This window comes from Homo sapiens, chromosome 17 (assembly GCF_000001405.40).
Source record: "Homo sapiens chromosome 17, GRCh38.p14 Primary Assembly".
NCBI lineage: Eukaryota > Metazoa > Chordata > Mammalia > Primates > Hominidae > Homo > Homo sapiens.
In genome coordinates, this window is record NC_000017.11 from 30,373,321 (window position 1) to 30,386,008 (window position 12,688).

Genomic DNA, 12,688 nt, shown 5'->3' on the forward strand with positions numbered 1-12,688 from the left:
TCCAACACCTACTCCAACATCCTTACACTCAGCTAGTGGCCTTGCTTTCCATTTCATTAAGAAAATAAAAGCAATCAGCAGAGAACCTTCTCCCAATACCTCACCTACCCACTTAATTGTACCTATGCCCATATATTCTGCCTTCCCATTTGTGACTACTGAAGTGTCTGTATTTCGACCTAAGACCCATCCCTCCACTGGTATATTAGATACACTATCCCTTCCCAACTACTCATACTCAAAGCCATGGCTCCAGCAATTCTCCCTTCTCTCTAATGGGTCATCACATTTTCCCTCTTTACTAGATCATTCCTATCAGTATACAAACAACCTATAATTTCTCCCATGTTTAAAAAACAAAGACCTGGAGCGGTGGCTTGCACCTGTATTCCCAGCACTTTGGGAGGCTGAAGCAGGCAGATTGCTTGATCCCAGGAGTTTGAGACCAGCCTGGGCAACACAGCAAAACCCTGTTGTCAGATCCTGGGGTCTGGGTCCAGCCTATGCGGAATCCAAGGGCAGTGGGTGGATGGGCAGAAAGAACACTTGGGGGGCTGTAGGCAGGTGAAAGATGATTTTATTCAGCAGCACCTCTCATCAACAGCTTTCTCATACTGTCCACCTTTATCTCGGCTGTCTGCTCTGGCTCTGCGGCTCCTGCCACCCTCACAATGCAGTTGCATGGCTGGCTCTCCCTTGCCTTCAGGGTCAGCAGCTTAACTTCTTCTCTCTCTGGGCTCCGGCGCGAGCCATGCTGTGGCTCCCATCTGTCTGTCTGCAGGATGGACAGCTCTGGTTCTCTCTCTCTTTCTCTGGGCACCAGTGTGCCCACCATGTTAAGCCATGTTGAGCCGAGCCGAGCCCCAAGAGCCATGTCTGTCATGCACAGTGTCAACAGGGCAGTTATATCTTTTACAGACAACAGTGGCTCAGGGCCATGTATGAACTTACACAAACAGGTTACATAGCAAGTGGAGGGGTGCCCTTGCGAGCCAAACTCTCCAAGTCATGCAGGCCTGGATATCCGCCTTGGCCTATTCCTTGACCAAAGCACATCCATGTACCTTACACCTGTCTCTACAAAAAATACAAAAATTAGCCAGGTGTGGTAGCATGTCCCTGTAGTCCCAACTACTTGGGAGGCTGAGGCAAGAGGATCGCTTGAGCCTGAGAGGTCGAGGCTGCAGTGAGCTGTGATTGTGCCACTGCACTCCAGCCTGGGCAACAGAGTGAGACCTCGTCTTAAACACCAACAAACACGACAACAACAAAACTGTTCCCATTATCTAGACATACCTGCCGCTGGATTTCATACAGGCATCTCAAACCTAAAAGTTCCCAAAATCAACACCTAATCTCTTTTCCCACACACTCCAAGCCCCTCCATTTAGCATCTTTTCTCCTGCCTTCTTTGTCTTGGATAATGGCAAAGCCACCTACCTGGTCACCCTCACTAGCTCATGAAGTCATCTTTTACTTCTTCTTCCCTTTTACCCATAAAGTTGCTAAATCTTGTCAATCCAACAACCTAAACATCTCTAATTTATCTTCTTTTTATCCTCACTGAACTTGCCAGAATTAGCTCTTGCCTGGATAGCAGCTATCCCTTAGCCTTGCCCAAATGGTTCCTGGAATTTTCTTGCTAAAACACAGGTGCGATCCACACCATTCCTCCTCACAAACAGCTCTGTAAGTTTTCCATTTGCTTTGGAATAAAGCAAAACCCCATTAGTGTGGTATTCAAAGCCTTCATCTACTTCTAGTCTTTGCAGGCATGGCTTCTGCTGCTCTTCCTAACACATCTTGTATTCCAGCCACCAGTCACGAAATCCCTCTCTGTGCATCTATCCTTGCTGGTCTCTCTGCCTGGAGTGCTCTTTTCTCCATTTTTACCATTTGAGAATTTCTATTATTAAAAACAATAGAAATAACGGTGATTTCTGAACGCTTGTTATATGCCAAGTATTATATTAAATGTTATGTATGTATTATTTCTTTTAATTTTCAGAGAAATGAAGTAACTTGCCCTGGTTACAATGGCTGAAAAGGGACTGATCCAGGATTTGAACTTGGTTCTGCTGTTGAAGAGCATGATCAAGCAGTATTGGTGACGTTTTCTCTGACTCTTCATTATTTTTATTTTTAATTTCTTTTATTTATTTATTTTGTATTTTTAGTAGAGACGGGGTTTCACCATGTTGACCGGGCTGGTCTTGAACTCCTGACCTCAGGTGACCTGCCCGCCTCGGCCTCCCAAAGTGCTGGGATTACAGGCTTGAGCCACCGAGGGAGGTGACTCTTCATTATAATGGCTTTTGTGTGTTCCAAAAACAGGTTTTTGTTTTTTGTTTTTTTAAGCTTACTATATAGAAACAGTTTTATTACAGAATTTAAGCACACAGACTCTGAAGTCACACTCCCCAGGTTTGAGTCTTGGATCTGTGGCTTGCCAGCTGTGTGACCTCATGTCTCCTCTCTTTATCTTTGAAATGGGAATGATAATAGCACCAGCCTCATAGGACTGTTGTGAAGATGAAATGAGTCAACCAATGTAAAGGGTTTTGCACAGTGCCTGTTATGTAACTCTTGTCCAGCAGACACATCCAGTCCTGTGTTGTGTCTATGTTCTGTGTCCCTTCCTAGATTCTGTCCTCTGGGAGGGGAGAGATCCCCTTCATTCATTTTCCAATCCTCCTGTACCTGGCACAACAGACCTTTCGCCAGATTGGGTGCTCCACAAACATTTGTCAAATTGAATTTGTAAATCTGCAGGTGTTTGTGCTGGACAATGAGACACTTACAAGTTCCCGGTCTATGCTATGCTTTAATTACCTACGAATCTTGTGAAGAAAATGGTTCTTGAATCAGGCTGGTCATCTAAAAGCTTTTGCCCTGTTTTTAAAAAATCCACGTCAATTCTTTGTCATTTCTTGGTGCTAGAAACATTTCAAATCTCTTTGAGCTAAATGAGGTGATGGCTATCCAGAATGTCCTGGTTTGATCATAATATATTGTATGCATGTATCAAAATATCAAATGTATCCCATAAATATGTACAATTATCATGTATCAAATACAAAAATTAAAAAAAAAAATCCAAGTCATTGCCACTCTGCTTCTGTGAACAGGAAGCCTTTTTACCTTCAAGCCTTTCCCAAGTCCCTTCCATTTGTAAGGCCACACCTTTTCCTTGGGGAAAGAGGAAAGAAACACCTGTCATAAGGTTCAAGACTTCTCAGACACAATTGGAGGTATTCAGCTGTAGGTAAACACAAACCTGTAGGTAAACACAAAAGTGACTGAGGTCCAGAGCTTTGGGTTTCACTTATAACCATAAGCAACTGTGTACCTGCTAAGGAAGAAGGCTGCAGACCTGAAAGAGGCCCACGGAAGGCCTGGGGATTTCTGAGAGGACACCGGCTCAAGTTACATTCCCATATTATTTCACCACCCTCATGCTTGTTTATTTACATTTCAGGCTGCCTCTCTAGGCGAGGCTGCAGGAGTGAAGGGGCTGGAAGAGGTTTCAAAGGAGAGTGAACGTGGTAGAAAAGGAAATATTTGATTAGAAGTTAACATGTCCTCTGGGGCTTCTTTGACTTGGATTACTGTAAAAGTGCATGGTGTAATAGTTGAGCACTCCCGGGAGGTGGTGGGCGGTCTCTCTGTACAGAGTTGTGGCTTTGTTTCTGATGAGTTGCAGCTGCTGTGCATAATGTAGACTAGATCAAATGGGGCATGGAGAAGAGCCATTCACAGGACCGGAGTGACGGTGCTCGCTCTGATGGCAGAATACTAAATTAATCATCTTCACCTAAACCTGTGCTTTCTCCTGGCCTGTACCTCAGTGAATACCTGCAAGTTGCTTAGGCTGTAACTTGAAGTCAGCCTACAATCCTCTTTGTCTCCAGATCCTGTCCACTTTCCTTTCCGAAGGTCTTTCAGATCCATTTCCTTCTTTCCACCTCCACTGGCACTGCCCTCATTCAGAGTCTCATCATGTCTTCCTGGATTGCAGCTTCCTTCCAGGTCTCTCAGCCTCAAGTCTTAGGCCTCCCATTCAATTTTCCGTGTTACTGTCAGAGGAATTTTTCTAAACTAGCTTAAAACCCGTCTGTGGTTCTCCATGGCCTTCCAGATCAAATGTGCTCCCTGAAGACTGGCCTGTGAGCCCCTTCACACCAGTAATCCTGACCCTGCATGCAATTCCCAGAACACAAGGCATTTGTTCTCAAATCCTGCGGCTTTCTTTGCTTGCTTCTCCTCCTGCCTGGGATCCTTCCCATCCTCCATGGTTTCTCTCCTCCTTTCCTCCTCCTCAAGTTCAGATATTTCCCTCACCTGTACCCCCTCTGTTGTAGCATTTATCACAAACTACACTGAATCTCTTGACTGGGCAGAAGAATGAATTGTTTCCCAGCATCTAGCTTTGACATAAAAGTTGCTCAATAAATACTTGACGAATGAATGAACTCTATTAAAGTAGGGTTCAGTCATAGTTCAGGGAAGGGGCCCTGAAATAGCTGGCTCTGAAAGAAGGTAATGCCGGTTATTGCGATTATGTTGTTAGATGGGTAGAATTTCGCATTCGATTAAGGGATAGTTTTGGGTTTCTTCAAGCTAAAGAAACTAAAGCCTATAAAAGGTGATTTAAAAGACCTCTTCTCTAGACTTGATGAAACGCTGTAATTGCCATCTTTGGCTGACACTGAGGAGTTCAGGAATGCCAAGCAAGTGTTTCCAGAAATGTCAAACCTGCTGTTTTAAAATATGTCATTCCAGGGCACAGTTAAATATACAACTTGCTCCGATGAGGTGGGAGAAGTGGGCCGGTGAGCTGTGAAATGAAATCTGCCTAATGAGGGTCGAGGCCAGCACACACAGGGACCTATTTGCAGTAAAACAACGTGGGGTGACGCCTAAGAAATAGACAACATTAACACAAAGGGAGCCTACTACGTAGCACATTTCCGCTAGGCATAAAAGAGACACCTTTCCAGAAAGCAACTCTAAAAATGAATGCACCGCCTAGTGAGGTGCGAGCCTTCCTCCCCACGAGGCGTCCCGTGCAACCGCACGCGGACAGCGGGGCTCCAGCGGAGGCGGGGTGGATGCGGAGACAAGGCGCCTAGGAGACTGGGCTAAGGCTTTGAGTGTCCGAACGAAGATTCTTTCGAACCTATTGATTTTTTCTAGTCTTATGATTCTTTCGAACCTTTTGATTCTTTCCATTCTCGGTTCTAAGCATTAAAGCGCAGCTGAGAAAGGCAGCAACAAAGATGGGAAGAGAACTAGCAGGAGTTCTCAGAGAAAAATGGGTGATAATTTAGGGGAGAAGCCATAAAGAAGAGACTAAGCGAGAAGCGGAGCACACGCAGAAGACGAAACAAGGAGGAGGAGAAGAGAAGAAGAACCTTGGCGAAGGAAGAGAGTGACCAAACTCGTCCCGGACGGGAGGAGGGCAGGCCCGCCCAGAGGGAATCGGCTGCTTTAAGGGAAGCCCCGCCCCCTGGTGGTGACGCTCCACCAGGCCCGTCCGCGATTGGCTGCGGCCAGAGGGCGGGATGGGGTTGCTAGGCGAGGAGGGGATCCGGCGGGCCCCCGCCGCCCGGAGCGCTGAGCCGCGGGAGCGGAGCCGGGGTTAGCGGCGCTGCTGGAAGATGGCGAGCGGCCGGGACGAGCGGCCGCCTTGGCGGCTAGGGCGGCTCCTGTTGCTCATGTGCCTGCTGCTGCTGGGGAGCTCGGCCCGGGCGGCTCACATCAAGAAGGCGGAGGCGACTACCACAACTACGAGCGCGGGCGCCGAGGCGGCCGAGGGCCAGTTCGACCGCTACTACCACGAAGAGGAGTTGGAGTCGGCGCTGAGGGAGGCGGCGGCCGCGGGCCTCCCCGGCCTGGCCCGCCTCTTTAGCATCGGCCGCTCGGTGGAAGGCCGGCCGCTGTGGGTGCTTCGCCTCACCGCCGGCCTGGGGTCGCTAATCCCTGAGGGCGACGCGGGGCCTGACGCTGCCGGGCCCGACGCTGCGGGGCCGCTGCTGCCCGGCCGGCCCCAGGTGAAGCTGGTGGGCAACATGCATGGCGACGAGACCGTGTCGCGCCAGGTGTTGATCTACTTGGCCCGCGAGCTGGCGGCCGGCTACCGCCGCGGGGACCCGCGCCTGGTCCGCCTGCTCAACACCACCGACGTGTACCTGCTGCCCAGCCTCAACCCCGATGGCTTCGAGCGTGCCCGCGAGGGCGACTGTGGCTTCGGCGACGGCGGCCCGTCCGGGGCCAGCGGCCGCGACAATAGTCGCGGCCGCGACCTCAACCGAAGCTTTCCCGACCAGTTTAGCACCGGCGAACCCCCCGCCCTGGACGAGGTGCCCGAGGTGCGCGCCCTCATCGAGTGGATCCGCAGGAACAAGTGAGTGTTGCCTGCCCCCTCCCCGTCCGTGTGAGCCTCCAAGGGCCGAGGCTGGTTCCGGCACCCAGTAGGCGCTCAGACAATGCTGGCATAAGGGGTGGCGGTGGTGAAGGTGAAGGGAGACACCCTGTAACGGGGACAGGGCCCAGGCCGCGTAGCCTCCCGTCCTGCTAATCATCAAAGAATTGCCTCCTAGAGGCTGTCATTTGTTCAAGGGATGGCTGGAGGGGACACTCCTTTCTGACATTTCTGGTCCCTATTCTTACAGGGGCATAGAATATGAGCGAGAAGAGATCTTAAGGATAACCTAGGTCAGCTCACACATTTTATAGATAAGCTGTCAATGTTGTTATCTTATATCAAAAGTGCCTAATGTTATAGGCGCTGTGCTAATTTTTTCTGTGACTGCAGTATCTCACTTTATTTTGGCCACAACCTGATGTCATAGACACCATCAGTTTTGCATACGGGGAAATTGAGGGTCAGATTGGTTAACTGATTTACATAGGAGTGTGGCTGGGACTTAGAATTAGGCAATCTGATTCCCGATAGTCCTCTTAGCCACGGAGGGACACTGGAGCCCAAAAATGGCAGATGATATTCCCAGGATCTTCCCCTTGCCTATTTGACAGAAGCTGATTTTTCTCCAATTTTTACCTCTGACTCAGCTTAAGAAGATATGGACTTAGCTGGAGAACTTGCACAGATCTGTGAGCCGCTTCATTTTAGACTCTGAAGGGTTTGTGATGTCATTTGTGCACCTTATTAGCCTGGGCAGAATGGCTAATGGTCACACTTCTAATACACACTTTAAGTGTTATTAAGCATTGCATGAGGTTTAAAAAATTACAAAGTAGAAGAAGGAGGACCTCAAGAAATTAGTATAAAACAAGAGAATGTTATAAATATTTATGAGGTATGTTGGTGTACCCAGTTAAACTTTACAGGAATTGTTCCCACTGGCAAGATGTGTGTGGGCTGCAATAACACGGACCATCTCTGTGGAAGAGGTAGAGCTTGAGCTATCTCCAGAGATGGGCAGGATTTTCAGCAAAAAGGAGAGGAATAAAATAAGAGGGAACTCACTCCAGATGGCATAGTGTCTGAAGTGAGCAGGCATCTCTTCCCCTTTTCTAGCATCAGCTTTTCCCCATTTTTGTATCTTCATAAGGCTTTTGAAGCAATAACTGATCATTCCATCTGGATTAAAAGAAGATTTCTGAGGGACTGCTAAGATAAAGAAGTTTCCCTGCGGGACTTGGAATCATTTCTTCTACAAGATTTCAGTCATATATAGAAGATCTAGAAAATTCTTGAGTGTTAGGACAGTTCCTGAGTCTTTTCGTCTTCTATCTTTTACTTTACTCCTCTTGATAAGCTCTCTTGTAGATATATAATTTCACATAGACTTTCTGGGAGGATTTTTTTTTCTTTTAAATACGATCGTGTCATCACCTCTGAACATCTGCGTAAGAAATATGACTTTGACATACACTTATTGACAGAGCTGTGATGGCCAGGGCTTTTTGGAGATGATACAACAAATGCACCGTTTGCATTGCTTAAATGTTTAAAATGCTCTGTCCTTGCACCTTTAAAATGCTGTGATCCTTGCAGGGATGTAAATTCTGTGCCTGGATTTTTCTTTTCAGTATTAGTTGTGCTGTGACCAAATATGAAAATAAGCTTTTTCTTGGTGCAAGTCGCCTTGAGGCTATACAGAGTCATTTTGGTCTGTGGCTGTGGACTACCCTAATCATATCTGTTCTTCAAATATGTAACTCTCATTAATCAAAAGGGAAAGTAGGTGATCATATATGGTAAAGAGTACATCCATCCTAACTCAGTCTTCAAGAATTCACTCAAAATGCGTACTCTGTGCTATTAACCAATAACAAAGGACACTGATATGTGAATAAAATTAAAAACACAAGCACACACACAATTTGATATTGATGCCTAAATATAGTGTCAACTTTATGGATGGGATATTTTTAAATACTCAAACATTAGTCTGTATGGGAAAACTACCTTTTTCAGTGTATTTTGTGAGGTAAACCATTTGAGTAATTTCTTGATATCCTATTCACCCAGCTATATTCGAATTAGATTTTTGTTGTTATTTCGAATATGTAAAATTTTAAGGCTTAATTTCCTCCAGCTTGGGAAAATGAAGTTTATTTTCTTTGTTTCACTTTATACTTCATCCAATGGATGTTGAGACAAATACTTAAGAAAATATATAAAAAAATTAACTTTATCATTCAAATGAAGATTTTATAGTTGACTCCTATTTTTTTATAGTTGACCGCTATGCTTCTTTAAGTGAATATACCTGCTTAAATTTTCATAGGTAATTAGCATATAAATGATATTTGAATGTGTTTGTGAAAAGCATTATTACAGTGTTGAGAGTGGGTGCAGATGATTTTTTTGGGGGCTTATGTATACATATCTATGATTGTCTGAATCTTTGAAATTTAGTTTGTCAGATATCAAGTTATCTTAATTTTTTTCAAGTTATCTACAGGGTTACCTGGATAGCGTAATAGAGTTAATTTAGAGATTAACTGTTTAATATTTATAAACTCATTTGTAATATCTCTAATATATTTACCAGCTACTTTAAATCTTATGCAAGGAATGATATGTGATACTGAAGTCAAGTATGAGAAACATTTCAGAGAATTGATTTGAATGGAAACCATAAAGTACCTGTCAAATAAGATTGGAGTTGATTTGCAAAGTTGATTTGACAAAAACTCAAAGCATAATCTTACAGCCATTGTAGTCACTTTCTCTTGAAATCTTCATTGTAAGAATGACACTGGTACTTTCAAAACTGTGTAATTACAGTAAGGAAAATCGAAGTGAATTTTATTACTCAAGTAGATTGCAAATATTTCATTGTTCAAAAGTATTTGATTAGGCCATTTTGACAATATTTCTGAGAAGTGTTGGAAGAAATGTTGAACAAAATGAGAAACAGCATTTTGTAGAGAATCTTGGATTTTAAAGTTTTACTTAACATGTGTAATTAAAGTAGCATGCTTTACTTATTTAGAATATTTAATTATCCATTTTATTTTACTAGAATATGAATGCCCAGAGGGTATTTGTTTGTTTGTTTCGCTCACAGATGTATCTATCCCTGGAATGTCCTTTGGGATGTATCTGTCCCTGAAACGTCATTTGGCAAATAGTTGACACTCAAGAAATGTTTGTTGCCGAATGGATTACCTGACCTGCCCCAGCCTTCTTATAACTTTCCCAGAGTCAGTGGGGGAAAAATACTTAAAAATTGTTTTAGAATTACAAACCAGAGAGTAAATTGTTAATACCTTAGCTATAGGGGAGAGGTGGTTAGAGTGGAGTTAGAAAGTTAGAATATTTACTTAGTTTTTGTTTCTGTATCATTCTATTACCCAAGGACTGGCAGTGGAAGTGGGGAGTAGAATGATAGTTTGTAAGGCAGTGTTTCCTTAAACAGGATGCTAGATACCTCCAAAGAAATGAACATTTGTTGAGCAGGGGCTATAAAGTAGTCTTTATGCCAGATTATGTTTCATGTGTGTTATCTTAATTTTCATGACAACTCTGGGAAATGGGTAGCATTAATCCCCATTTTACAAATGAAAGGAAAACTGAGGTTCAGCGAATTTAAAGGCAGTAACTTCTCCTGATTATGTTATATTACTGGTGAGCAACAGATCTGGGAGACGGAATGTTCTTACCCAAATTTGTCTCCAAAGCCTGTGCCATTGCCACTACACCAAATGGCATTCTTCTCTGGTGTCTGGAAGGGTGCTAATTATAATTATATTAGTTTTTAGCTAGTTTCTTTTCATGGTCTATGCTAGTGTTTAATCAGTGTCCTTATTGGCAAAGATCTGTCTTCTGATGAACAGATTTTGTGTTACAAGTAATTTTCATTGTTTGATCTTCTCTGGGATAATACTACTCATCATGCTTAAAATAGTCTTTCAAATTAGACATGATAGGTTTACTTTTTTTTCAAGCATATAGAAAAATCTTATATATCAACCCCCTTTAGAATTTCTGTAGGTCAGTTAATTTCAACAACAGAAAGGCAGAAGCAAGAAAATCCTATTTAGAATGGAAAAAGAAAAGTATTTAATCTCTACTGATAGTAATGGTTTAAGCTGTTATATAAGGGAAAGATGCTTAAATAGGACTTTAGCATTTTTTTTGCCTTTAGGTTTTAGCTTTTACCATAAAAGGAATTCTTCAGTATTTCTATATAGATAAGTTTGACCAAATTGTAAATTGGTTCACTTAAAAGTAGAAGCATTAAAAAAAATGTTTCTTTTACAGGAGCAGCCTTGCCTCCATGTCAATTTATTTTTTTAATGGCCCAATCAGAAACATTGGGCCTTGAAAGAGCTGCTTCTACAGTGATGTATTGGAGGACTAGTCTTTGACATGGTGTATTGTTTTTCTCTGTAAGCAGCTCACTGAATCAGGTTGTTTTCTTTGTTTGTTTTTTTCCTGAATCTTCTCAACTATGGCTTCTCTCTTGAAAATGTGAATTTAGTATATTGTGAAACTGGAGTGAAACACAAAATATCCTTTTAAAAATTAGACTTCCTATCTTAAAAATTCTCTTTGGACGGTAAATGTAAAAAGCATAAAAGTTATTAACCTAACATATATGCAATGAATATTTATATATACCAGCCATATTTTCTGTGGAATTTACGTATTATGAAATACAAGTCGTAGACTGAACTATATGAAATTGTCATTTTTTTAGGTCAAAAAAATGGGTGAGGGCCAGGCATAGTGGCTCATGCCTCTAATCCCAGCATTTTGGGAGGCCTGGCAACATGGCGAGACCCCATCACTACCAAAAAGAAAAGGGTGAATATTGGCAAGCTCAAAGCTCATATAGTTCAACCTAATACATGAATTTAGAATTCCCTAAATAAGACATTTCCTGAAATATTAATTTATACTGTGTTATCCAGCTATTTTTTCAATGAAGGAAAACTCTTTAAAGTTAGTTTAGGTTAACCTGAATTGTTAAAGGTGTTTGAAATCTTAAATTGATAATACTTTCTTTCCATTTTCTTTTTTTGTTGTTGTTAGTCTCCTTATAACAGATAACAGCTGATAGAGTTGTTTTCTAGGTCTCCAAGAGAGATATTGGAGTTTATTTCTAAAAGATTTTGTGGAATTTTTTTAATGCATGGTGTTTTGTGTCCTTTTTTAGTGATACGTGATTTGGTTGTATTTTCAAAGGTTTGTGCTTTCTGGAAATCTGCATGGTGGCTCAGTGGTAGCAAGCTATCCTTTTGATGATTCTCCAGAACATAAGGCCACTGGAATCTATAGCAAAACCTCAGATGATGAAGTATTTAAATACTTGGCAAAAGCTTATGCTTCAAACCACCCCATAATGAAAACTGGTGAGCCTCATTGTCCAGGAGATGAAGACGAGACTTTCAAAGATGGAATCACAAACGGCGCACATTGGTATGATGTGGAAGGTATGCAAAGCATTGAGTTTGCTACATTTTCCCCCTTGTTCGTTGAATTTTGTTATGTGTATTCTGAGCAAAAAAGAAGAAACTCTGTAGAAATCTAACTTTAAAAGATATTTATTTTTATTTTGAAAATTTCAAATCTACAGCAAAATTGAAGGACTACATGAAGACCTATCTGTCCTTCATTTAAATTCACCACTGTTATCTTATCCCAGATGGCTTGCCTCTCCCTCTCTCTTTTTCACTCTCTACATGCACGTGTATGTGCATGCACACACACACACACACACACACACACAATCACACAATTTTTTTGCCAAACCATCCAAAAGTAGGTTGCAGATTTCACAACACTTTACCTATAAGTTCCTCAGCATGTATTTCCCAAGTACAGGGACATTTTCCTGTTTAACTATATACTATTACCATAACTGAGAAATCAATGATAATTTAATATTATCATACCACATGCCATCCGTAACTCAGATTTCCCCCATTATGTCCAAAGTAGCCTTGGTAGCCCCTTTTTATCCAGATCTAGTATCCAATCAAAGTTCAAGCATTGCAGTTGGCTCTTGTAAAGAGACCGTGCTAATAGTCCTATGGAAAAATTCCATAATCTAGATTGTCACTTTCTTCATGGTAAGATTAGGTCAGGTTTCCCAGCAAGACTATTATATAGATCATGTTGCGCATTATATCAGGAGACCCATAACGTCAAGCTGCAAGTGGCCAAGTTGGACAGCTTGGTTAACATGATGACCACCAGCAACCA

The 12,688-nt window shown here is 42.7% G+C and overlaps 1 protein-coding gene across 2 annotated transcripts in view, besides 7 other annotated features; it reads left to right on the forward strand.

The window, feature by feature from the left end:
- Positions 3,333-3,622: an enhancer, noted in NCBI's record as "active region_11995". NCBI's record gives its function as "activates an Ori minimal core promoter by ATAC-STARR-seq in GM12878 lymphoblastoid cells {active_cell/tissue: GM12878}" and the evidence as "EXISTENCE:reporter gene assay evidence [ECO:0000049][PMID:35858748]".
- Positions 3,873-3,922: an enhancer, noted in NCBI's record as "active region_11996". NCBI's record gives its function as "activates an Ori minimal core promoter by ATAC-STARR-seq in GM12878 lymphoblastoid cells {active_cell/tissue: GM12878}" and the evidence as "EXISTENCE:reporter gene assay evidence [ECO:0000049][PMID:35858748]".
- Positions 5,193-5,362: an enhancer, noted in NCBI's record as "active region_11997". NCBI's record gives its function as "activates an Ori minimal core promoter by ATAC-STARR-seq in GM12878 lymphoblastoid cells {active_cell/tissue: GM12878}" and the evidence as "EXISTENCE:reporter gene assay evidence [ECO:0000049][PMID:35858748]".
- Positions 5,413-5,652: a silencer, noted in NCBI's record as "silent region_8396". NCBI's record gives its function as "represses an Ori minimal core promoter by ATAC-STARR-seq in GM12878 lymphoblastoid cells {active_cell/tissue: GM12878}" and the evidence as "EXISTENCE:reporter gene assay evidence [ECO:0000049][PMID:35858748]".
- Positions 5,413-6,435: a biological region, named in NCBI's record as "H3K27ac-H3K4me1 hESC enhancer GRCh37_chr17:28705846-28706773".
- Positions 5,508-6,435: an enhancer, noted in NCBI's record as "H3K27ac-H3K4me1 hESC enhancer chr17:28705846-28706773 (GRCh37/hg19 assembly coordinates)". NCBI's record gives its function as "activates a minimal SCP1, AML or CMV promoter by ChIP-STARR-seq in primed H9 embryonic stem cells {active_cell/tissue: H9 hESC(primed)}" and the evidence as "EXISTENCE:reporter gene assay evidence [ECO:0000049][PMID:30033119]".
- Positions 5,607-12,688, forward strand: part of CPD (carboxypeptidase D) — a 91,063-nt gene continuing 83,981 nt past the window's right edge. The window contains exons 1-2 of one of the 2 annotated variants that reach the window (NM_001304.5): positions 5,607-6,406; positions 11,669-11,916. In NM_001304.5, coding sequence (NP_001295.2) covers positions 5,661-6,406; positions 11,669-11,916 — 994 coding nt within the window. In that variant the 5' untranslated portion in view covers positions 5,607-5,660. Of the gene's footprint in view, positions 6,407-7,157; positions 7,323-11,668; positions 11,917-12,688 lie in introns of those variants that run through there. The other variant, NM_001199775.1, reaches the window with a different exon arrangement.
- Positions 5,953-6,082: a silencer, noted in NCBI's record as "silent region_8397". NCBI's record gives its function as "represses an Ori minimal core promoter by ATAC-STARR-seq in GM12878 lymphoblastoid cells {active_cell/tissue: GM12878}" and the evidence as "EXISTENCE:reporter gene assay evidence [ECO:0000049][PMID:35858748]".